Below are 26983 nucleotides of genomic sequence, written 5' to 3'. Positions count from 1 at the left end.
GATCAAAATTAACAAGGGCAGGTGGGAAAACATCAGATAAACTCAAAATTAAAATAATTCTATCACACAAAAGAAGAATTTTTTTTCCTCAAAAATGTCAATGTCATAAAAGACAAAGAATGGCTGAGGAACTGCTCCAGATTAAAGGAGATTGTACTGAAGGAAAATAAATACTATATAAGACATTATTGGGTCAATTGTTAAAATTGTAAAATAGACAGTAGATAATGTATTGCATCAATATTAAAATATACTAAATAAGTTTATAGGAGTGATAACTGTACCATGGTTACTTAAGAAAATATTCTTATTCTTTGGAAATTCACAATGAAATATTTAGTAGAAAAGGGTCATAATGTATATGTATGAAATTTACTCTCAAATTTTATGTGTAAAAAATGTGTGTGTGCATGAATGTGTGTGCACATTTGAAGAAAGAGAGTGAACACACAGGCACAAAATAATAAAGCAAATGAGACAAAGTATTAACAATCAGAGATTGGGTGTATGGGAGTTGTTGCAATTTTTCTTACTAGTCTTGTAACTTTTCTTTACGTTATGAAATTATTTACAAATAAAAGTTTAAAGAGTAATCTATTAGGTGAGTTTAATAATAAATTAGACTCAGCTTAAAGCAGAATTGGTGAAATGAAAGAAAATTCAGAAGAAAATACACAGACTAAAACATGGAGTTACAAAATGATGAAAAATACAGAAAAGAATGTAAAATCATATAGGACATAGTAAGCAGTTATAATCTTAGAAGGATAAGAGAGAGAAAATGGGACACAAGCAATATTTGAGAAGATAATTACTGAGAATGTACCAAAGCTTTATATACTTGATATCTTTATCTGGTTACAGATTCAAGAAATGCCACAAAGCCCAAGCAGGATAAATGTACACCTAGGCATGTGACTGTACATCTATAAAAAGCTAACGACCCAGAGAAAAATCTTAGGAGTAGCACAAGAAAAAAGTCAGTTTACTTGCAAAAGATCAAAAAGTAAGACTGACTGCTAATTTCTCAAAGGAAACAACATAACTCAGAAAACAATGGAATGATATCTTCAAAATGAAAGAAAATAACTAAGTTGGGATTCTACATTCAGCAAAAACATTTTTTCGTAAATGAAGGTGGAAATAAAGACAATTTCAGACAAATAATACCTGAGAAAAATTTGTCACCCGTAGACCCATATTAAAAGACATTCTAAATGGTATTTTTCAGGCAGAAAGAAAGTAATCTCAATGGAAGCACAAAACTGAAAGAAGAAATATAGAACAACATTAAGTTAACAACAGTGGGTAAATCTTAACAAATGCCAATTGTATAAAACAACAGCACTGACAACAATAACAACAACATTTTGTAGAATTTAAAGTATATATAAAATTAAAATATATGGCAATGAGGCCGGGCACGGTGGCTCATGCCTATAATTCTGGCACTTTGGGAGGCCGAAGTGGGAGGATCATTTGAGGAAGGCCAAACTGGGAGGATCATTTAAGATCAGGAGTTTGAGATCAGCCTGGGCAACAACAGTGAGAACCTGTCTCTATAAAACATTAAATAAAAATCGAGCCAGGCATGGTGGCATGCTCCTGCAGTCCTAGGTACCTGGGAGGCAGAGGCAGCAGGATTGCTTAAGTTCAGGAGTTCAAGGTTGCAGTGAGCTATAATCAAGCCACTAAGCTACTGTACTCCAGCCTGGATGACAGAGCAAGACCTGTCTCTTTAAAAAAGAGAGAGAACACTACAAGAGAAAAATTACATATCAAATTTTAAAAATAATATACATGTAAAAATCTTAACCAAAATATTAGCGTACCCAAACTAGAAATATATAAAAGGACTAATACTCCATGACCAAATAGGGTTTATTCCAGGAATACAAGATTAAGTTATCATTCAAAAAAATCAGTCACTGTGGTTCATCATAAAATGAATAAGGTCCCCACAGCTAACAGCATGCTAAATGGGGAAAAACTGAAAGCCTTTCATCTAACATCTGGAACAAGACAAGGATGACTGCTTTCACCACTTTTATTCAACCTAGTACTGTTGCAGGATCCTCGGGGTGTCACTTTTCTGGCTGGAAACCTCTGTGGCTGGTGGCACCTTTGCCTGAGTTTTGCTCAGGCCCGCTGGTCTTATTCTGCCCACTCAGCCTGGCAGGTTGTGCTTGGTCCACACTACTGGCCTGGATCCCATGCCTGCCAAAGGCAAGCCAGGCATGGAGTGGCAGCAGGTGTGTGAGTGAGCAAGCATGGGGGTCTGGCCACTGCGCACAGTCAAGCATGTCAGCTGCTGTGGGGCAGGCAGCTCCAGGTGCTGACGTGGGTGCTGACTCTCTGTGAGGCTGCAACTGGACCAGACACACTGCAAGCAGCTTCCACACCTGCCACTGGGGAATGTGGTGGCTCCCAGAAGCTTGGAGACTCCAGGAGTCACAGGGCCCCAAAGACGGAGTCATAGCCCTGGCTCAGGGAACTCCCAGGTCTGGGCTCCCCAAAGGGCCACAGCTCTTCTATCCTTCTCTTCACCCTCAACGTGGTGAGCAAGGGACGTTTCAGCCCTGTTTGTGTTACACCTCTTTTAGTCCCACCATTTGGTAGGTCCCGAGTTCTTGTCCTGCGTCCAGGAAGAATGAGGTGTGCAGACAAATGGAGGGTGAGCAAGGTGAAGAGAAGCTTTACTGAGTGACAAAATAGCTCAGAGGAGGCCCTGGAGTGGGCAGCTCCTCTCTGTAGCAGGTTGTCCCAAAATCTGCTCAGCTCTGGCTGAATTGGGGGCTCTTATGGGCCTCAAAAGGGAGGAAGTGCACACTGATTGGTCCATGGGCAGCCATGGGTGGGCTGGGAAAAGGCACCACTATTTCCCACTCTGGTCTGTGGGACTGGCAGCCAGACTCCCAGCCTTCAGGCCCTCCCTTCTACCCAGGAGCCTGTCTGCCTCCCACTGCTGTCCATCGCACCCAGGTTATCATGCCAAGGGACACCTGCAGGCCAATGCCAAGCTGCCCTCGGCCCCTCCTTAGCTTCCCTCCCATTCTCGTTGGTGCCCCAAATCCAGAGGGGCCCAAGGCAGCAGGGGACTGTCATGTCAACACTGCCCCAAGTGTATGCACACACGGCTGGGTTGTGACAGTGCCTGGGCCCAGCCCCAACCTTACTCCAAGATTGGAGTGGGTGCTGGGAGCAGGGAGAGGCCAGGCAGTGGGAGCAGACTTCTCTGAGCCTGGTTGGGGGTACAGGGGGGTCTTCCCAGGCTGCCAAGAGTGCAGAGATGCCTGGCTCTGCAGCTGTGACTTGGGTGGCTGTAGCTGCATCCAGGAGGGTGGGGTTCCTGCCTGCTCCTGGACCACCCAAGAGCACAGGAAGGCCCAGGTCAGTAGCCACAACTTGGGCAGCTGTAGCTGCACCCGTGAGGGTAGGCCTCCTGCCTGCTCCGTGGAGTGGGAGGCCTGAGTCTGCAGCCATGACTTGGGCAGCTGTAGCTGCACCCAGAGAGCTCCCACCCCACCAACTTGGAAGGGGTAGGGCTCCCACTTGTTGCCGGCTCCCACCAGCTCTGTGCAATGTGCAGCTGGAGTGATGGCAGCAGCTGCTCCAGATGGACCACTGCTATCATCAGTACTACAAGTCCTAGCCAGAGCAACTATACAAAAGAAAGAAACAAAGGGCATCCAAATTGGAAAGGAAACTGTCCAAACTGTCCTTGGTTGCAGACACTATGATCTTATGTTTAGAAAAGCTAAAGACTCCACCAAAACCCTATTGGAACTGATAAACAAATTAAGTAGCAGGATACACAATCAACATACAAAAATTAGTATTATAGAATTTCTATATTTCAACTGTGAACAATTTGAGAAAGAACACAAAGCAGTCTCATTTACGATAGCTACAGAAAAAAATACTTAGGCATAAACGACCAAAGAAGTGAAAGATCTCTACAATGAAAACTATAAAACATTGATTCAAGAAATTGAAGAGGTCACCAAAAAATGGAAAGCCATCTCATGTTCATAGATTGGAAGAATCAATATTGTTAAAATGTCCATACTACTTAAAGTGATTTACAGATTCAATGCAGTCCTTATCTACACACCAGTGAAGGCCAGGTGCTGTGTATCGCTCATGTGTATAATCCTAGCACTTTGAGAGGCCAAGGTGGGAGGATCACTTGAGCCCAGGAGTTTGAGTCAACCGAGGCACACAGTAAGACCCTGTCTCTTCAAAAAATAAAAAAATTAACCAGGAGTAGTGGTGCACACCTGTAATCCCAGCTACTCAGGAGGCTGAGGCAGAAGGATTAATTGGGCCCAGGAGGTAGAGGCTTCAGTGTGCCGTGATCACACCACTGCACTCCAGCCTGGGTGACAGAGGGAGACTGTGTCTCAAAAACAAAAGAAAACAAACAAAAAAATACCAATGACATTCTTCACAAAAATATTTTTAAAAGTCCTAAAATTTATATGGAACAGCAAAAGACCCAGAATAGCCAAAGCTATCCTGATCAAACAGAAAAAAGCCGTAGGCATCACATACCTGATTTCAAGTTATACTACAAAGCTATAGTAACCCAAACAGCATGGCACTAGCATAAAAACAGATACATAGACCAATGGAACAGAATAGAAAACCCGGAAACAAATCTATACATTTACAGTCAACTCTTTAATAAATGGTGCTGGAGGCCGGGTGTGGTGGCTCACACCTGTAATCTCAGCACTTTGGAAAGCCGAGGCGGGTGGATCACGAGGTCAGGAGAGCGAGACCATGGTGAAACCCGGTCTCTACTAAAAATACAAAAAATCAGCCAGGCGTGGTGGTGGGCGCCTGTAGTCCCAGCTACTCAGGAGGCTGAGGCAGGAGAATGGCATGAACCTGGAAGGCGGAGCTTGCAGTGAGCCCAGATCGTGCCACTGCACTCCAGCCTGGGCAACAGAGTGAGACTCCATCTCAAATAAATAAATAAATAAATAAATAAATAAATAAATAAATGGTGCTGGAAAAACTGGATATCCATATGAAGAAGAATTAAACTATACCCCCATTTCTCACCATATACAAAAATCAAATCAAAATGGATTAAAGACTTAAGTGTAAGAACTGAAACTATGAAACCACTAGAAGAAAACATTGTGGAAATGCTTGAGGATGTTGGTCCTGGCAAAGATTTCTTGAGTAAGACCTCAAAAGCACAAGCAACCAAAGCAAAAATGGACAAATGCGATAATATCAAGGCAAAAACCTGCACAGCAAAGGAAACAATCCATAAAGTGAAGAGATAACCTACAGAATGGGAAAATATTAATACACACTAGTCAACTGACAAGGGATTAATAACCAGAATATGTAAGGAACTCAACTCACTGGTTTAAAAAAATCCAATTTAAAAATGAACAGGCATTTCTCAAAAGAAGGCATACAAAGGGCCAACAGGCATATGAGTAAATAGTCAATATCACTAATCATCAGGGAAATACAAATCAAAACCACAGTGAGATTTCATCTCATCTCCAGTTAAAATGGCTATTATCAGAAAAGATAGAAAATATCAGCAGTAATGTTTGGGAAGAAGGAAAAGAAATTTAAAAAAATAACAAATGCTGGTAAGGATGCAGAGAAAGGGGGATGCTTGTATTCTGTTAACGGGAATATAAATTAATACAGTCACTATGGAAAACAATATAGAGATTCCTCAAAAAACTAAAAATAGAACTACCATATGATCCAGCAATCTCACTGATAGGTATATTTCCAAAAGAAAGGAATTCAGTGTATCAAAAAAATATCTGCACTCCCATGTTTATTGCAGCCCTATTCACAATAACGAAGATATGAAATCAACCTAACTGTCCATCAACAAATGAATGGATTTAAAAAACGTGGTATATGGGCCAGGCATGGTGGCTAATCCCAGCACTTTGTGAGGTCGAGGCAGGTGGATCACGAGGTCAGGAGAAGTTTGAGACCAGCCTGGCCAATGTAGTGAAATCCTGTCTTTACTAAAGATACAAAAATTAGCCAGGCGTGGTGGCTTGCACCTGTAGTCCCAGCTACTCTTGAGGCTGAGGCAAAAGAATTGCTTGAACCCAGGAGGCGGAGATTGCAGTGAGCCAAGATTGCACCACTGCACTCCAGCCTAGGTGACAGAGCGAGACTTTGTCTCAAAAAACAAAAACAAAAACAAAAACAAAAAAGTGGTATATGTATACAGTGGAATATTATTCTGCCATAAAAAAGAATGAAATTCTGTCATTTGCAACAATATAGATGGAACTGGAGGTCATCATTAAGTTAGATAAGGCAAACACAGAAAGATAAATGTCACATATTCTTACTCACGTGGAGTTAAAAAAATCGATATCAGAAAGGTAGTGAATGGAATGGTGTTTTTGAGAAGGTGGGAAGGGTAGTAGGGAGGAAGATATAAAGTAGGGTTGGTTAATGAATACAAAAATACAATTCGAGGCCGGGCGTGGTAGCTCATGCCTGCAATCCCAGACTTTGGGAGGCTGAGGCAGGCAGATCACTTGAGGCCAGGAGTTCAAGACCAGTCCGGCCAACATAGTGAAACCCCGTCTCTACTAAAAATACAAAAAAAAATTATCTTGGTATAGAGGCGGGCACCTGTAGTCCCAGCTACTTGGGAGACTGAGGCAGGAGAATTGCTTGAACCTGGGAGGCAGAGGTTGCAGTGAGGTGAGATGGTGCCACTGCACTCCAGCCTGGGTGACAGAGCAAGACTCTGTCTCAAAAATCAAAACAAAACAAAATACAATTAGAATAGAAGAAATAAGACCTTGTGAGAGGTGAAGCTGGCTGGGCTTCTGGGTTGGGTGGGGACTTGGAGAACTTTTCTGTCTAGCTAAAGGATTGTAAATGCACCAATCAGCACTCTGTGTCTAGCTAAAGGTTTGTAAATGCACCAATCAGCGCTCTGTGTCTAGCTAATTGGGTGGGGACTTGGAGAACTTTTTTGTCTAGCTAAAGTATTGTAAATGCACCAATCAACACTCTGTGTCTAGCTAAAGGATTGTAAAAGCACCAATCAGCACTCTGTAAAACGGCAAAATCAGCGCTCTGTAAAATGGAGAAATCAGCGCTCTGTAAAATAGACCAAGCGACAGGATGTGGGTGGGGCCAAATAAGGGAATAAAAGCAGGCAACCAGAGCCAGTAGCAGCAACCCGTTTGGGTCCCCTTCCACGCTGTGGAAGCTTTGTTCTTTCGCTCTTCGCAATAAATCTTGCTGCTGCTCACCCTTTGGGTCTGCACTACCTTTATAAGCTGTAACACTCACCGAGAAGGTCTGCAGCTTCACTCCTGAAGCCAGCGAGACCACGAGCCCAGCGGGAGGAATGAACAACTCCGGATGCGCCGCCTCTATGAGCTGTAACACTCACCACGAAGGTCTGCAGCTTCACTCCTGAAGCCAGTGAGACCACAAACCCATTGGGAGGAATGAACAGCTCTGGACGTGATGCCTTTAAGAGCTGTAACACTCACTGTGAAGGTCTGCAGCTTCACTCCTGAAGTCGGCAAGACCACGAACCCACCAGAAGGAAGAAACTCCGGACACATCTGAACAACTGAAGGAACAAACTCCGGACACACCATCTTTAAGAACTGTAACACTCACCGTGAGGGTCCATGGCTTCATTCTTGAAGTCAGCGAGACCAAGAACCCACCAATTCCAGGCACACTTGTACTTGGTAGCACAATAGGGTGAGTATAATTAAGTATAATTTATTGTACCTTTCAAAATAACTAGAAGAGTAGATTTGGAATGTTCCCAACACAAATAAATGATAAATGCTTGAGGTGATGGATATTCCATTATCCTGATTTGATCATTACACATTATATGCTTGTATCAAAGTATCACATGTACCACATAAATTGTACAACTATTACCTATCCATAAAAATAGAAAATAAATAAAATGAATAAAGTGTAAAAATCACAGGCTCATTTTAACTGATGAGAAAAATACATTTCATAAAATTCACCATCTGTTAATGTTTAAAAATTATATCAAACTAGAATTAGAAGAAAAATTCCTCAATCTGATAAAGAGTAACTACAAAAAGTAAACTCCAGCAACCATCATATTTAACTGAAATTATTGAGTGCTTTCTTTCTATCAGAACTAAGATAAGGATGCCTGCTATTTTCACTTTTATTCATCATTGTTCTTAAGGTTTTACCCAGTCCAATAATTCAAGAAAAAGAAGTTAAAAAACGGGCCAGGAGCAGTGGCTCACACCTGTAATCCCAGCACTTTGGGAGGCCAAAGTGGGTAGATCACCTGAGGTCAGGAGTTCAAGATCAGCCTAACCAACATGGAGAAACCCCATTTTTACTAAAAATACAAAATTAGCCAGCATGGTGGCGTGTGCCTATAATCCCAGCTACTCGGAAGGCTGAGGCAGGAGAATCGCTTTAACCCACGAGGCGGAGGTTGCGGCGAGCCAAGATTGCACCATTGCACTCCAGCCTGGACAACAAGTGCAAAACTCCGTCTCAAAAAAAAAAAAAAATTAAAAAAATAACTATCTGAAAGAAATCACTACACACACTACACATACTACATGATTGTGAATCTATAAATAAACTATAAGAATTATTAAGTTAATTAAGCAGGGTTGCTGTATGCAAGTATAAATACAAAATTTTAATTATTATGTCAATATGCCAGCATCAAACAACTAAAAATGAACATTAAAATATGCCATTTATGGCCGGGCGTGGTGGCTCACGCCTGTAATCCCAGAACTTTGAGGCCAAGGCAGGTGGATCACCTGAGGTCAGGAGTTCGAGACCAGCCTGGCCAACATGGTGAAACAACCCCATCTCTACTAAAAATACAAAATTAGCCGGGTATGGTGGCGTGTGCCTGTAATCCCAGCTACTTGGGAGGCTAAGGCAGGAAAATTGCTTGAACCTAGGAGGCAGAGGTTGCAGTGAGGCAGGATCGTGCCATTGCACTCCAGCCTGGGCAAAAAAGAGCGAAACTCCATCTCAAAAAATAAATAAATAAATAAAATTAAAATACGCCACTTATAAGGCTGGGTGCATTGGCTCATGCCTGTAATCTCAGCACTTTGGGAGGCCGAGGTGGGAGGATCACTTGAAGTTAGGCGTTCGAGACCAGCCAGGCCAACGTGGCGAAACCCTGTCTCTACAATAATGCAAAGATTAGCCACGTGTGGTGGCAGGTGCCTGTAATCCCAGCTCCTTGGGAGGCTGAGGCATGAGAATCACTTGAACCCAGGAGGCAGAGGTTGCAGTGTGCCAAAATCATGCCACTGCACTCCAGCTTGAGTGACAGAGTGAAACCGTGTCTCAAAAAATATATATATAATATACATATATATATGCCACTTATAAAATAAATAGAAAATAATTGGGAATAAATCCAATGAATAATATACCAGGTTTCTACATAGAAAACTATAAAACATCAAAAAATTTTAATAAGACTTCAACTAGTGAAGGGATATACCATATTCATGGATAAAAAAATTTAATATTGTAAAGACTTTCATATTAATTGATGGACAGATTTAATGTAATCCCAATAAAAATTCCAGCAGGGTTTTTTTTGGTAGAATTTATAAAGTTATCCTAAAGTTTATGTGGAAATATAGAAGTTCAAGAATAGCCAAGGCTCACGCCTGTAATCCCAGCACTTTGGGAGGCCGAGGCAGGCAGATCATGAGGTCAGGAGATTGACACCATCCTGGCTAACGCGGTGAAACCCCGTCGCTACTAAAAATACAAAAAATTAGCCGGGCGTAGTGGCGGGCGCCTGTGGTCCCAGCTACTCGGGAGGCTGAGGCAGGAGAATGGCGTGAACCTGGGAGGCGGAGCTTGCAGTGAGCCGAGATCATGCCGCTGCACTCCAGCCTGGGCAACAGAGCAAGACTCCATCTCGAAAAAAAAAAAAAAAAAAAAAAAAGAATAGCCAAGGCAATCTTGGGGAAGATGAGAGGCATGAAGGACTTATTCTACCAAATATCAAAACTTATTGCAAAGTTACAGGAAATGGAAACAGGGTGCAAGTGGCAGAAAGACAGACTAATGGACAAATGGAAAAGAATGGAGATTCCAGAACAACACACACATATTAGATAGACAATGGATTAATAATAAAAGTGGGAAATTAATAGTGTTTTCGGTACATGATGCTGGATTGATTGAATATCCATACAGAAAAAAAAGGGAAACTTGACCTCACATCATACCTGAAAATCAATTCCAGGTGGAACAACATTGCCAGAACTACATTGCCATTCACCACAATTCATTTAAATTATTTAAAAGTAAATAAAATTTAAAATTCATTTCATCATATGTACTGTTTCAGACAAGATTGACACAATCATTTTGGAAAACTGACAATATCTGTAAAATATTTCAGGGTGGTATGGCCGTAGACCATATGTAGTATTTCAATTGCTCAATAGCCATATGTGGCTAGTGCTATTTCAAGCGCTCAGTAGCCATTCAGTGGCTACATGTTGGACAATGCAGGTATCGAATATTTCCATTATTGCAGAAAGTTCAAGTGGACAGTGCTTGCTGTTCTAGAAGATATAAGATAGAATATCTTTAAGACTGGGTAAAACAAAATTTGTTATAAGGGATTTTAAAAAGGCACTAATCTTTTTTTTTTTTTTTACAATTTTATCATTATTTTAATCAAGTAACTTAGCTGTTTGAAACAAATCCTTAAGACAGTTCAATAGAACAAAATGAAGAATTACTCTATTAGGATAACCTGTGAACAAAGTTCAGATTATGTGAATTTGAATTCCATTGGAAGTTTGGCACCAGACTGAACACTGTTCTAAGTCAAAATTTTTAGTGTTCTAGAAGCCCTGAACATGTTTTCTCTCAGATTAAAAGTAGAAGCTTTATAACAGAACCTCATTAGCTTGACACTGAGTATGTTGAATGCAACTTAGCTTAGGTCACCAGTATCTCCTACAAAATTCCAGTTAGTGAAAGCAAATCAGCCTTGCGGCAAAGAATTTGAAACCTAGGCAACATGCAAGTTTGAAGAAAAAAAATCCTCTTTGGTGTGACAAACCACATTCCCTCCAGGTATATGGCTCCGGCTCCACTCGCACCCGAATCTATCAAAGGCAGCTGGAGACCAATTCTTGTCTCTCCAGTAAGATTGCTAGATTTCAGTTCCTTAAAATATCAAGCCAACAAGGTTTTATTACATCAAATGTTTGTATCATTTCAATGTGAAATTTTTTTACACCTGTTTGTTATTAAGGTCTCATTATCTGTGAGATAAGTCACAAAAAAACAAAGAGGTGAATGGTATAAGCCACTGCTCCAAAATTAACCCTATCAATTCTCGATTTCCACTGTGCACTTTGTGAAAAGCAGTAACTGCCAACAGGTTTAACCTTTACTCAAACACAGTCAGAATCCATATTGAGTTTAGATCAGGCAAGGAGTTCATAAGGAAGTTATCAACTCTTGTGTGTCCAAATCTAAAGCCCTGCATGGGCTCTGTCAGGTCCTTGTCACCCGCACTCCGGTGGCCATCAGACTTCTTGGGTGCCTGTCTATATTCAATGTGAAGTAAAAAATATCCCAAGTGTTATACAAAAATAGAGGCTCTAACTTAGAAGTATACTTTTAGCTTTCTTTTTAAATAAGACATTCTGGAGGAAAAAAAAGAAAGAAAGAAAGAAAGAAAGAAAGAAAGAAAGAAAGAAAGAAGGAAGGAAGGAAGGAAGGAAGGAAGGAAGGAAGGAAGGAAGGAAGGAAAGAAAGAAAGAAAGAAAGAAAATCAAGTTTGAAACACAGCTAACACTTATTTTGGCAAGATAGCAACCAAAATCTAAAAAGCATAAACTATGTGTCCAAATGTAAAAGGCATTAAAGAACAAACCATAGGGGGGAAAATTAAAGCCACACTGAACAAAAAGATACAGTATGTCTAACATTTTGGAATTGTAATTTAAACCTTAAGGGCAAAAGCTGAAAAATTATTCTTAGGTTGCTAGTAAGTGCACCCTTCCCTGTTTCTCCCAAATAAAATCAGTTTATTGTTTAATTGCACCCCAAAGCAAGTTCTCTCAGTACAAAGTAACTACTACATACACACAAAATGCTTGTTAATGTAATAATTTCCCTGGCTCATCCAACGTGCAATGCACATGACTTCAAAAACTACAATTTGGGGCAAGTGTACATGAAATGAGAAAACAGCTCTCCAAGTTTGAAAACCTGCTCTTACATTATTTATAGGACACTCAGATCATATTTACTTCTTGGTAAGATGTTGCACTGTCATTTGATTATCAGTCTACCCCACAATGTACATTACCAGATGCCAATTTGAGGGATGCCAATTTGAGGGACTAGAGATAAAACTTTAGTACTGTATTTCTTAATCGGCAGAATAAAGTAATTACAATTAAGTTTGCTTTACATCCTGTTGAAGACCTCTTTACAGCCTGAGGACCTAACACTATCTAGCAGGCTCCAAGAAATGCTCATCGGGTGAAATGATGGCACAACATTTAAAAAAAGGAACCAGTTACTTCAGCTTAAGTCATTCAGAGCCAAACATCTGAAGAATGACCAAAATCAAATCTTTATTTTTATAACTGTATAAATGTGATCCAAATGAAAAGGCACTAATCTTAAAAGAAAAGCTTGAACATTTGGACTTCATTAGATTAGAAACTGCTTTTCAACAAATAACAATATATATTAAAGAGCATGACAATGCAAGACACAGAATGGGATGGGCCAGGATTGGGGTGAGGCAAGTGAGGCTCTTGCCTTGGATACAGTTCTTTACGGGGGTGACAAAAAACTCAGTAATCAGGAGAAATAAACATTTGATGCAATATTTTAAAAAATCAAATTTAATGCAAAAAAATCCATGGTGAACAAAATATCAAAATCTAAAATAAAGACAGGAATCAGGATTTTTATTTTTTCTTTTGCCTGAAGCTCCAGTGTGACTCCACATAGCCTTGTGGGAGATGATATTTGCAACATGTACACAACAAAGGGCTCATATCTATATTTAAAGAACTCTTATAGGTCAATAAAAATGTCAGACAACCTAGTAGAGAAATGGGTTCAAAATCTGAACAGATATTTCTCAAAACAGGATAGTCAAAAGGCCAATAAATATGTAAAAAGGTGCTAAACGTCATTAGTCTTCAAGGAATAAAAATTAAAATAAAGAAGCATTCCACTATACACCCATCAAAATGGCTAAACGTAAAAGACAGACAATACCAACCACTGATGAGGATGTAAGAAAAAACAAATCTCAGACATTGCTGGTGGGAGTGTAAAATGATACAATCATTTTGGAAAACTGACAATATCTGTAAAAGCGGAACACACATGTCCTATGATTCAGCAATTCTACTTCTAGATAGAAATGCACTCATATGTTCTTTAAAAAAAAAAAGTATTCACAGATGTTCCTAATGCTTCTGTTCAGTAATAGCCCCCAACTGCAAACACTCCATGTGTCCATCAATAAGACAATGGATAAATAAACTGTGGCATTTATCCATGTAAATTGTAGATAAATAAATTATGGATAAACAAATGGATAAACAAATTGTGGTATTCATGTAATACCACACAATAATGAGAACAAATAAAATATTACCATATACAACATAAATGAATCTCACAAACTTAATATTAAGCGAAAGAAGCCACGCATAAAAACACCTACACACACATATAAAGCCCCCAAACAGGCAAAATTTAATGTATGGTGTTAGAAGTCAGGGTAGTGACTAACTTTGGTAAGAAAAAGGGACTTGAAGGGGGAATGAGGAGGCTTCTGGGTGCTGGTAATGCTCTGTTTCTAGATCTAGATTCTAGTTTTCTGGGAGTGTTCACATAGTGAAAATTCATCGATATGAACACTTTTCTGTAACTGTATTTTAAATCAATAAAAACTTACAAGAAAATAAGGGGCTAGGCATGGTGGCTCAGACCTGTAATCCCAGCACTTTGGGAGGTTGAGGTGGGAGGTTCACTTGAAGTTAGAGACCAGCCTGGGCAACACAGCAAGACCCTATCTCTACAAAAAATTTAAAAATTAGCTGGGCATGGTGGTATGTGCCTGTAATCCTAGCTACTTGGGAACCTGAGGGGGAGGATCACTTGAGCCCAGGAGTTCAAGGCTGCAGTGAAGGATGATCACACCACTGCACTCCAGCCTGGGTGACAGAGGGAGATCCTGTCTCTGAAAAATAAATAAATACATACATACATAAATACATAAAAAAGAAAATAAAAGTGTATCCAGGCCATTTAGGAGCCCAGGAAAATGGAAGATGAGGATTTAAAACGTTAAGCAATGACCGGGCTCGGTGGCTCACGCCTGTAATCCTAGCAGTTTGGGAGCCTGATGTCGGCAGATCACCTGAGGTCAGGAGTTCAAGCCCAGCCTGGCCAACATGGTGAAACCCCGTCTCTACTAAAAATACAAAAATTAGCTGGGTGTGGTGGCATGTAGCTGTAGTCCCAGCTACTTGGGAGACTGAGGCATGAGAATCGCTTGAATTTATTTACCATTGAGGAAATGCAGAAGCAGATCCTGGAGGTGGAGGTTGCAGTGAGTTGAGATCACGCCACTGCACTCCAGCCTGAGTGGCAGAGTGAGACTCCGTCTCAAAAAAAAAAAAAAAAAAATTAAGCAATCAAGTAAAAAAGTCAGCTACCACAACATCAAGGGTCTGACCCCATTCTCTCTTCCCCAGCTGTGGCAAATACTTTTAACCTGTCATGGTATCTACAAGAATTCTTGCTAGTAGAGGAGGTGAGTCTTTGTTTTCCCATTTGATTCATAGGAAGATGGAACCCCTGAGGCGGTCAATATGTAGATTAAAGTCTCACAGGTAGTTATACGCAGATGCAAGCCTGACTCTGGTCTCTTAATTCCTGATTATGAGCTTGGTGCACTACAGCCAGTTGTCAGGCTGCATGACCTTGCGGAGTCTGGGTTCCAAGCAATGAATGCCTTCACTAGGAGCCAGCAAGTTTTTCTCTGTGTCCCTAATTTATAATAATGCTGAGGATGAGAAATTTGTCCCTAACTTATAGAAATGCCAAGGACTAGGTATCTGCTTTAAGTCAGTTCTACCATGAAATAAGCGGATACCCACTCAGTGGTCACTGCGTACACTTCCCTGGATGCACACGGGGTGTAGCTACAGGACATAAGGAGGCAATTTTACATAAATACTTTTCCTCTTTCTAAAAGCCCAATTACTGACTGTATTGAACAAGTCCTGAAGGCACTTGAGAGGAGGCTAACCCGAAGGAAGAGTGAAAATGCGTAAGACCTGGGATCCCGTCTAGTACAGCTACTTCTTTTTTTCTATTTTTGAGACGGAGTCTTGCTCTGCTGCCCAGGCTAGAGTGCAGTGGCACGATCTCTGCTCACCGCAACCCCCGCCTCCTGAGTTCCAGCAATTCTCCTGCCTCAGCCTCTAGAGTAGGCACCCGCCATCACACCTGGCTAATTTTTGTATTTTTAGTAGAGACAGGGTTTCACCATGTTGGCCAGGCTGGTCTCAAACTCTTGACCTCGTGATCCACCTGCCTCAGCCTCCCAAAGTGTTGGGATTATAGGTGTGAGCCACTGCACCCGACCTGCTATGGCTATTTCTAAACAAGCCAAGAGAATCACACTTCTCATCCTTCCATCTTTTAAACAAGATTCAAATTGTGGGTTTGAATTTAAAAAAAAAAAAAAAAAGAATGTTTAAGTTCAGTATTTTTGCTTCAAGCTGATTCTTCTGAAAAATACCTGAATGTCAAATCCATAAGCACAAGTTTGGGGAACAGATGGAGACGGAACTGGTGACTCTCTAGCAGGCAATTTATAGCTGGATCCTACCTTTGTGGTGATGATCAGAGGGGCGTATGCCCTCCATAACACTCCCATTCTTCATCTTTTTCCTCAAGACAGCTGCCCTGTGAGCAAAATGCAGACCTCTAAGGGCTCTAGGGAGTACTTCACCCCTCAGAACCGGCTACGCAGGTATGGGAACTAATTACAGACTCTAGCTTTATAGTTCTTTCCAATTTCTTCCCAAAATCTGAATAAATCTCCCCAACACAAGTCAGGTTTTTCTCAACTCACAGTCTCTTTGTGTACATTTCCCCTATGAATCGTACTCTTTTTTATTTCAAAGATGACGTCCCGCCCGCATCTCCTCCCAGACATCTGAACTTTTTGTTTCCTATTTTCTATAAGAAATCTTCCTTTTCAGCCGGGCGCGGTGGCTCACGCCTGTAATCCCAGCACTTTGGGAGGCCGAGGCGGGTGGATCATGAGGTCAGGAGATCGAGACCATCCTGGCTAACACAGTGAAACCCCGTCTCTACTAAAAATACAAAAAATTAGCTGGGCGTGGTGGCGGGCGCCTGTAGCTACTCGGGAGGCTGAGGCAGGAGAATGGCGTGAACCCGGGAGGCAGAGCTTGCAGTGAGCCGAGATCACGTCACTGCACTCCAGCCTGGGCGACACAGCGGGATTCCGTCTCAAAAAAAAAAAAAAAAAAAAAAAAGAAATCTCCCTTTTCAATGAGAGTTCTGGCTCTGGTTCCTTATCTCTTTTGCCCAACTCTTGGCTCCTTTTATTTCTCCGTGCCGGACTGTAATGGCATCTTTGCTAGAATGCTTACCCATAGGCAGAAGTGCTTGGAAGAGAAACACTCATAGTGGAACCAAGATATGGCAAGTTTTATGTTATTTTAACTTTGAAGTTTCCTGCAGGCTGTCTCAAAGAAGCAGAAACAGGCCCTTTCCCAGACTGCCTTCCAACCCAGAGCCAGTTACAATATATGGGGGTTATGGGGGTTACTGCGCTGGACAGTAAAATAGACTATTAAAAGTAATTGTTCCTCACTCGAGCTACTCCAGCAAAAAAAACAAACAAAACAAAACAAAAAAAAAGGTAATTGTCTCAATTTTGGCTATATCTGTCCTTATGTACTTGAATTTGCAAGAGCTCCAAAGCAAGAGTCTGGTATATTCTGTTTTTTCAAAGCCCCAACCTGCCAGAGGCTGAAACCAAATCCTTCAACCTGCAATTTGTCACTTTTAGGTAAATGTCGGTCAGCTTTCTTACATCTGTCTAACAGTATGTTGGAGTGACCAAATCAAAGGGCTGTAATGGGCCCACCATTCCTGGTAATTATCTTTGCATGGGGCCCTCCTGCTGAGGGTTGTGCCTAAAGTGAAGCCATCAGCGTAAGTGCCCTGATCCTTAATGAGATCCCTGTGGCTTGAGGAGAGGAGACACAGATGCACTCCTTACCTTCATCGTGGATCAGATTCTTCCTCATTTTCACAGAGCCACTTGGCCAAAGGAACCATCTTATTCTCAGGGCTCAGCTCAGTTGGGAGACTCCCAACCAAACGCTTCCAGGGCCTGGTTCCATTTACGCCCTGGGTTTGCTCTTTCCATTGCCCGTGTTGTCAGCTCAGTACAACATGGCTGCTCCTTCCATGAGGAGCAGCTCAGTAGGGTTCTGCATTCCTACAGCTCAGTAGGGCTCTGCATTCTGGTACAGTGAAGGGTACAGACCTGCAGCCTTTTTTTTTTTTTCTGGTACCTTCTCAGCTGCCTGTCTACAAGGCATGGGCAGTGGCCAGCAACTACAACAATAATTTAGGCACTTAAACACTTTTGAAAATTCTGCACCCAAGCAAGAAACTGTGATTCTGAAACTCCAATTAGCAGAATGTACCAGGCAAAAATCATCCAGGCACATTGGCTTTCAGAAAGTTTTACTATAGAAGAAGCAAATAAACAAAAAAAATAAGGAGATGAGGAAGGAGGGGGATGGAGAAAGAGGAAAACGAGGAGAAGAAGAAGTCAAGCCCATAGATATATTACTATAGCATAGATATTGTACTGTACCAAAGCACCCGCTCAGAAAGCGAAAGAAATTTCTTCTTCCCTCCCTGGAGCTCACCTCTCTCTATACAGGGCCCTGTTCCAGGAAATCGTCAGTGGCTGCTCTCTGTGGTCAATAATAGATAATTCCAGATCAAAAGAAGTGTTCTGAAGTCAAGACGTAGTTTTTAGATCAATGGTTTTACAAGTGGAATCTGGGGATCTCTGGTGGGTCTGCAAAATTTCTTCCAGGCGTTCAGCGGGCTGAGTCGAAATGCAAGCGTGTTGGGTGGTTCTTTCTTTTTTTTTTTTTTCCTTTGAAACAGATTTTCCACTGCAGATTTGAAATAAAATTTAAATGCACCAAAGCAAATATTTTTGAAAGGAGCTATAAATAATCACAAGGGATTCAGCAAAAACACCTCAAGGGTGTTTTTTGTTTGCTTGCTTGTTTATTTAATCTAGTAAATAGGTGAGACTCTTGTTCTGCTTAAGTAGTCTAAAGACTAAAAATTTCGAGACTCACCAGATTAAAAGATGAAAAGATGAACCTTGCAAAGTGCATCTTTTTCAGGGGAAGAAAGTAAGATTTTTTTCTTCTCTGGGTTTCCCATTTCCCAGTGTCATTTATTCCTGGTTCTCTCTCTCAGCACTGCTTTCTAGTTCAGTGCCCACAGCTTGGAGTCAGGAGCAGCCACTATCAAAAATAATCCCTCTCTGCTGCCACTGGTATATTTATTTAGGGTTTTCCTCCAGGGAGCAGGAGTTCAATTGTGGGGTAAAGGGGACATTAAATGTGGCTGCAGCTTGGGGATATCTGTTTTTCTTTTTTCTTCATTCTAGTCCCATGGGAAGAGGTAACCTCAGGAAACTCTGGGCTGCTGGAGAAGAGTTTTGTGAGTTATCTAATAACCTGGTTGTCAGCCACATGGCACAACAAAGCTGTCCAGACATTTAGGTTCCTCGGATGCCATGAGATAAAAATTTGCACTTATGCCTGCATCTACTTTTCCCTTTCTAACAGAGTAACATGCACATTTGGCTATTTGTTGGACTGATTTGCACGGCCATAGTTTCCTAGAAGGATTTTAAAACAGACTGGGCTGCCTACACTGCAGATAAACAGTTTGGAAGCTGTACATTAAAATGAACTTAGAGGTCTCTAGTTGGATTTTGGTGAAGTGTTTGCAACACCATTTACCTATCTGGATAATTCTGTCATGTACAAAGTACTCTCCAATAATTCAGATGTCCAATAATGCAGATCCTGTATTACCCATATGCTGTTAGCCCTTTCAATCCTTTGTGCAGGCTTACCTAGAAATAAAGGAAAAAATGTTCTTCCCACCTTGCTTGATAAGATAACAACAATGTGTTTGGTTTTTAATGTAACTGGAAAAAAAAAAAGATGGAAGAAAAAAAGGCCAATTCCAACATCTGGATGAAATTTATTACATACCTCTCTGGGACCCCCTGGTTCCTGAATGATTTGGCTTATTATCCCTTTTCCAAGTCTTCAGAGACTCAATGACTCGAATGTCAGGGAATGATACTTTGCTGCCGGATACTACAAAGTTGGTTTAAAGAGGTTGTAGAAATGCTGTAGCTGTAACCAAGCTCCTCACAGGGGGAGGTGGGGCAGCACATGCCATGTAAGCATGCTCACATATTTCTGTGTGGATACCCAGTTGGAAAGTTATTTGCCACTTCTGGAGAAGCTGGAAGTTGTCGACTATACAGATAGATAAAGAGAGGGGTTGGTTAATGGGTACAAAAATACAGTTAGATACAAGGAATAAGATCTAGTGTTGGGTAGCACAAAAGGGCAACTATAGTTAACAATAATTTATTACATATTTCAAAATAAAAGCGTAGAGTTGGAGTATTCCTAACACAATGATAAACGCTTGAGGTGATGGATATCCCAATTATCCTGAGTTGATCATTATATATTTTATGCATGTATGAAAATATCACATGCACCTTATAAAATGTGCAACTATTATGTATCCATAAAATTTTTTTAAATGTTTTAAAGCTTGGGGGATCCAAGTTTGCTGCTTACTTCCAATCTGATGCATCACCAATCTGAGGCAGGCCCCAAACTTTGGCAACAAGGTATGAGGTAAGCACCACTTTAGTGCAGGGAGGGTAACCTGGTTGAGAAATTGACTGATTTTCTGTAGTGTCTGCCATTTCTGTTCTTCACAAAAGAATAGACCATTCCTATCTTCCTCCACACTCCCAATCCCAAAGGGTAACCAGGGCTTTTTGTTCTGGAGATCAGGCTTTCTCTCATCTCAGGAAAAAAAAAAAAAGAAGAAGAAAAAAAAGGAAAGGAAAAAGAGAAAGAAACAAAGAAAAGAAATTGAGCTGCGTGTGGTGGCTCATGTCTATAATCTCAGGAGGTTGAGGCAGGAGGAGCACTTGAGCCTAGGAGTGAGCTATGATCACACCACTGCACTCCAGCTTCGGCAAGAGAGCGAGACGCTGTTTCAAAAAAGAAAGAGGCCAGGAGCAGTGGCTCATGCCTGTAATCCCAGCACTTTGGGAGGCCAAGGTGGGTGGATCACCTAAGGTCGGGGGCTTGAGACCAGCCAACATGGAGAAACTCCGTCTCTACTAAAAATACAAAATTACCTGGGCTTGGTGGCTCATGCCTGTAATCCCAGCAACTTGGGAGGCTGAGGCAGAAGAATCACTTGAATCTGGGAGGCAGAGGTTGTGGTGAGCCGAGATCGGGCCATTGCACCATGGGCAACAAGAGCGAAACTCCATCTCCAAAAAAGAAAAAAAAAGAAAGAAATCAGGCCAGGCACAGTGGCTCACGCCTGTAATCCCAACACTCTGGGAGGCCGAGGCAGGTGGATTACCTGAGGTCAGGGATTTGAGACCAGCCTGGCCAACATGGTGAAACCCCGTCTCTATTAAAAATAGAAAAAATTAGCTGGGCATGGTGGTGGGCACCTGTAATCCCAGCTACTCAGGAGGCTGAAGCAGGAGAATCGTTTGAACCTGGGAGGCAGAGGTTGCAGTGAGCTGAGATTGTGCCATTGCTCTCCAGCCTGGATAGCAAGAGTGAAACTCTGTCAAAAAAAAAAAAAAAAAAGAGAGAGAGAGAGGAAGGAAGGAAAGAAAGAGGGAGGGAAGGAAGGGAGGGAAGGAAATAAAGCGAAGAAAGAAATCAACAAGCTTTTGTTTTAAAAAATTAACCCAGTCTTAGAGGCAATAAAACTGTTTTGTCTGAGAGGAGGAAGGATTTGTAGAATTAGAAGAGGGCAGAGGAGAATTTCCTGAGCCTGGCTTTGAGGCATGGTGCTGAGGAGCACTGCAGCCTCCTTTTGTGGCCAGGTCCTGCTCCAGGCCTCCCACAGACCGCTGGGACCAGAGGGCCTTCAATGGGGATGACAGTGTGCTCAGGGAGGTAAGCAAAGGCACTGCTGATCCCGAGCCTCAGCAGAGGTCTTCATGCCATAGAGAAACCTGGAGAAAGGGTCGTAGAATTGTTTTGGGCAAAGAGCGCCAGGGGTGACAGGCACCCTCATCTAAGAGACATCTTCCCCCCAGTATGTGTAAGCTCCTGATAAAGGACCAAGATTGGATTTGCTACTCATTGTTGGATGGAAGCCAAGGGTATTTAATTTAGAAAATTAAAGAAATGTGACATTTCCACCACCTGTATGTCAGGGAACAAAGTAATACCTGTTTAACACCAGGCTCCACACTTTCCTTTAAAGTCTTTTAGGTTTCCTGGCTCAAAGAAGCCTCCAGCTTGATTTGTTGAACTGTGCCTCTCAGGAGCTGAAGGCAGGCAGTGTTCCAGGATATGTGCATATGGGGGTGCATGCTGCTCTGTGAAGGAGCTTTGCACTTGGGCCCCATTCCAGTCCCTCCCTTACCAATTCAATAGGAGCCTGAGTCAATGGTGGACTCAGACAAAGACATTCCCTGAAAAAGAGAGGAAAGGAAGCTGGGCAGAAGTTGCATGCAGGACTGGGATTGCTCAGGATTGGGGCTCCTGAAGCCTTGCTGCGAAACACATCCTCAAGTCTGCACTGCCTCCCGGTGGCCACACCAGAGCTCAGCTCTGCACTTGGTATGGAGAAAAGACTGCATGGGATGTGTGTGTTTCTTCCGGCTGGAGCTCTTTGGAGACTCATCAGAAACCTTGATGAGATACAGAATTCCGAAGGAAGAGGAAGCCTTAGTGAGGAAGGGGGTGAGTTCTGTTTACTCTGAAGTATCTGTGGAATACACTGAAATATAGATATCTAGGAATCTGTCAAAATAAAAATCTAAAGGTCAGGAGAGAGATCTAAACTAGACATGCAGATAGGAGTGTTATTATCATATACGTAGTAATTAAAACCAGGGGAACAGATGAGATCACCCAGGGAAAATGGGAATAGTGACAAGGGCTGAGTTCCAAGGACTACACTCTAGAGTGGGCGGAAAGGTTTGGTGATATCATCTTATGTATTTTTCTGGGGCTTTGGAATTTCTCAACTCATTATCATACTCATTATCTTTCATACTCATTATCTTAATTCTCATCTGGGAGGTTCTATAAAATACCTGGTAAAACGAGGTGTGACTGGGATGATGCCAACACTGCAAGAAATCCAATCTATCGGACAGGCAGGAGGTGGGGCCTGGACACAGTGTCACAAGGGATAGTGATTCCCAATGGTAGGCTTGAAGCCCCAGGTTAGCATCACACGGAATGACTCCTAAGAGCACTTGAAGCTCTTGCCTAGGCTATTGGTGAAGAGCATAGCTGGTCCATGGCGCTGGGTTAGAAAGGCTGTTGCGGGACAGTGGCCAACCTGACAAAAGCTCTGCAGCGGGAGCTTATCTCCAGAAGCAGATGCAGCCTGCCTGCCTCTGCATGTCCTACAGGCAGCAGTCCACCGGACCGAGCTGAGGAATGGTCTTCCCAACTGGGAAGACAGGCATCCTTTCCAGAGACAGAAATATGGCAACCAGAGTACTTGCTCCTTTCTGAGTGACTGGGGTTGGTGGGAGACATGAAGCCTGACCTGGCCCTACAAGGAGGTCTGTAAGGCAGAGGGGTAGAATGCAAGGCAGAGATAAATGCAATGAGGTGACTCCTTTGGTAGAGTCCCCACTTCCTTCAGTTGGTCTCACCTACTCTGAACGTACTTCCTCCCATAGTATTTCAGAGTTTCCCTGTGTTATAATGTGTTATTGTGCACCTATTCACATGCTCCCTTGAGTTCCTCAGGCTGTTCATCCGTGTGGCTTCTCCAGGGTTTGCCTAATACTTAGGGGGAGCAGGGCCAGGTGTGGTGGCTCATGCCTGTAATCCCAGCACTTTGGGTGGCCGAGGTGGGCGGATCACATGAGGTTGGGAGTTTGAGACCAGCCTGACCAACATGGAGAAACCCCGTCTCTACTAAAAATACAAAATTAGCCGGGCGTGGTGGTGCATGCCTATAATCCCAGCTACTCAGGAGGCTGAGGCAGGAGAATCACTTGAACCCGGGAGGTAGAGGTTGCGGTGAGCCGAGATCACGCCACTGCACTCCAGCCTGGGCAACAAGAGCAAAACTCCATCTCAAAAAAAAGAAAACAAACCTTAGGGGGAGCAGTTAAGCTACCCACATGGCCAGAAGTTCTAGGCACCAGACCGTGGCTCTGCTCCTTATTGCTTGAGGTTTTGTTTAACCTCCCTGAACCTCAGTTTTCTCATCTGAAAAATGCCTCACGGTCGTTGTGAGAATTAGAGAATACTCAAAAAGTCTAAATGACAGCACTCGATAGTGTCATTATTGTGACAGTTTCATCTACTACAAATATATTATCCTGTCTTTTTAGAAATTTCTACCATTAAAATGACTCTTTAGGTTAAAGATCTCAGAGCCCTATCATAATGCTTATAGGGAGAAGTATGGTTCTTATTATATTATTGGTCATTATCATGATCCTGAATTGGTTTAGGTAAAGCAGAGGGCAGGAATGGGTCACAAATAGTAATTTTGTTTGGGCTCCGGGTGGGGGAAAGAAGTGTCTCCCAAACTTCAGTCATTTGAATAGCAATGTCAGGATTTCAACCATATCTCCAACCCAGCTATATTATTATTTACTCAATATTTTTCTTTAAATCAACTAATAACTTTTTCAAAGCTTAAATACATTCGTGTAAATTGGAAAATTTATAGCATGTTACTGTCATTTTTCATAAACAGAATATAATCCTAGAAAAAATTAATAATACAATGTCAATAAATTCTAAATAACTACTGTTACCAGGAGAGCACTCCAGTTCTGAGGTCTATTTTCTTGATTAAAAAGGAATATGTTAAAAGGGAATAAGTTTTGGAATATGTTAATGACACATCAACCCCCACTGAGACTTTCTTCTAGATGAATCCAGGCTTGAAAGCAAATTAAAAAGGAAATTACTTTTCCATGATGTGATAATCTTATGCTTGTCCATCTACCGCCTAAAGTCATCTTCTGTTTAACTTAAACCATCTCACATACCACCAGCAGTACATGTTCTAAGCTTTCGGAGACAAAAGGGCTGAAAGCAGGCTAATGAGTTCCCCAAGTAAACTGAAAAAACTAAACTGGCCAACTTCACCTCCTTTACGATTTTGTGTAAATGCTCTACCATCTTGCGTATAATTTCGTTTTTGTATCCCCTTTGGGAACTAGGATAGAATGGCACACATAAATATGCTCAATAAATATCGGGATGCTGGGTATGGGTAAAATGGTAGCAGAACAAGTCGATCTGAATAGGACCCTGGAAGTGCGAGGGGAAGATGGGTTTTCTGAAATACACTCCCTCATTTCCCACAGCCAAACAATTACAGGCTCAGCCTGAAGTCTAAACAAGATGTGGAAATGCCATACACAGCAGAGGAGAATTGGTTCTAAGGACTGAACTATATGAATAATAGTTATTTCTCTCCTTTTGGACTTGGAGATCTGGCTTTTCATAAATAACTATATTTACTCTTGTAATGGTCCTGCCCCATTTTCAAGTGATAGAGTAACTCCAAAGTATCTTTTCCTCTTAAAGGTCATTTATAGTAAGTGATGTGCTTCAGGAGTGTCTTGCACTGAACTGAAAACAAACCATCAAGGAACACTCCTCACCTGCCATATCCAAAAGGCACTCTAGGTTTGTATCCACTGTAATATATCTTCTTGATTTTGTACAGATAACATTAGCAATGGATACATAACATCTGTCACTGCCATTTATAAAATAAAATATCTGAGTCTCTCAAAGACAGTTTAGGAAATTCACGATCCTCCTAAGAGAAAGACGAAAACACCGTCAGTAGATTCTCAGCCCCAGGACAGGCCAGCTTAAAGTGATTAGGCTTGTGGACAGAGATTAAACTGACAAACCTTACACACTTGGCCCTAGCCTGGAGCAGGGGATTGATTTTTTCTCTGAGAAGAACTTTAGAGGCCAAAGGAAAAGACAAGTTGAAAAGAAATTCCTCTCTGAACAGTTACACAGCTAAGGCAAAGATTTCAGAATTCTGCCCCGAGAATCTTTCTTCCCAGCCTAGTTTAGTGCTATGACCAAATACAAAAAAAAGAACCAATTTAGGACTACCACCAGAATTATTTATTTATGACTCTCACACCCCTTTGTGGATCACTGATGGCAAGTTCTAAGTGACTGATTGATTGGTTCTCCTTTGTGCCTCATTGATCAATCAGGGCATTCCCAAAGACTACTAATTATTTCAGTTTTCAACCCAAGTTAAACATAATCAGGAAGTTAAATCCTACTGCTTCGGATCATGAGGTCAGGAGATCGAGACCATCCTGGGTAACACGGTGAAACCCCGTCTCTAGTAAAAATACTAGGTGCCACCAGGTGTGGTGGCACGCACCTGTAGTCCCAGCTACTCAGGAGGCTGAGGCAGGAGAATCGCTTGAACCCAGGAGGTGAAGGTTGCAGTGAGCCAAGATCGCACCACTGCACTCCAGCCTGGCAACAGAGCGAGACTCCATCTCAAAAACAAAAACAAAACAAAACAAAACAAAAACAACCTACTGCTGCCAAAGCTACCCCAAATTCCAAAGTCAAATATAAGTGAATTGTGGATTGTCTACTGTCTAGAGAATTCTTACCAAGCTCCCAATAGAAAAATGAGAACTGGCCTCATTATTAAATCATGTCACCATCAGTGGCCCATTTTCTTTCCAGCTTTGGTGATGACATCCTTGTATCAGCAGAGCAGAGTTAAATTGTCAGATTCCCAAAGCAATTTCCCTTTGGACTTACCTGTAGATATTACTGAGTAGGAAGGATCGGTGAACTCAGGGTCCAGGCTACCAGCGACTTTGGTAGCCTGACCAAAGCTGTTCACTCCCTTCACATTGCTTTTTATGCAACCCCGGACTATTAATGACTTCCAGCTGTGGGGCGATCCCTCTGACCACTCTGCCTGGCTTCCCAGATCTTCAGTGCTTTCATGTCTAAGAGGACTCTATATTTTCCTGCTCCATGACCTTCTGTCTCTCAGGACTCCTACCACCCAGGGTGCTGACAACTCAGCAAGGGTTTCCTTGGTGTGAGTTCTTTTGCTTATGGCACCTGAGCTATCACATTTCTAATCAGGAGCAGCCTGAAATTACGGTGCAAAAATTAAATTGTGGAGACTAAAGGCATTTGGTGCAACTGAATTTCAGGCAGAGTCTGAAGTTCCCTGGAGTAGAGCTTGCTGTGTGGGGGCCTCCTGCCCATGGCTTTGGAGCACTTTGATAATCTGAAATGTCTTTTAGCCGTGTTAAAGCTCTGGTAGAGCCAGCATCCAAAAAATTTTCTGAACTAGAACTCCATCTGCTACCAATCTCCAAGCCTGAATCATGGCTTTGCCACTTACTAGCCGTGACCTCAGACAAGTTATTTAACCTCTTTTGGCCTCACTTTCCTAAGATGTAAAATGCGGGCAATGAGACTTACTCTACAGTGCTAATGTGAGCTTTAAACAAGCTACGATATGTATAGTACATGGTAGATGCTCAATGAATTTCACTTCCCTTAATTCT

General features: G+C 42.0%; 1 protein-coding gene across 2 annotated transcripts in view; it reads right to left on the bottom strand.

Moving 5' to 3' along the window:
• ASIP (agouti signaling protein) overlaps positions 1–26285 on the bottom strand; it is an 82852-nt gene extending 56567 nt beyond the window's left edge. The window contains exon 1 of one of the 2 annotated variants that reach the window (XM_011528821.1): positions 26217–26285. The gene's annotated coding sequence lies outside the window, so the exon portion shown is untranslated. Of the gene's footprint in view, positions 1–18017; positions 18217–26216 lie in introns of those variants that run through there. The other variant, NM_001385218.1, reaches the window with a different exon arrangement.

Source organism: Homo sapiens, chromosome 20 (assembly GCF_000001405.40).
Source record: "Homo sapiens chromosome 20, GRCh38.p14 Primary Assembly".
Lineage (NCBI taxonomy): Eukaryota > Metazoa > Chordata > Mammalia > Primates > Hominidae > Homo > Homo sapiens.
This window is presented reverse-complemented; position numbering and strand designations above follow the sequence as displayed.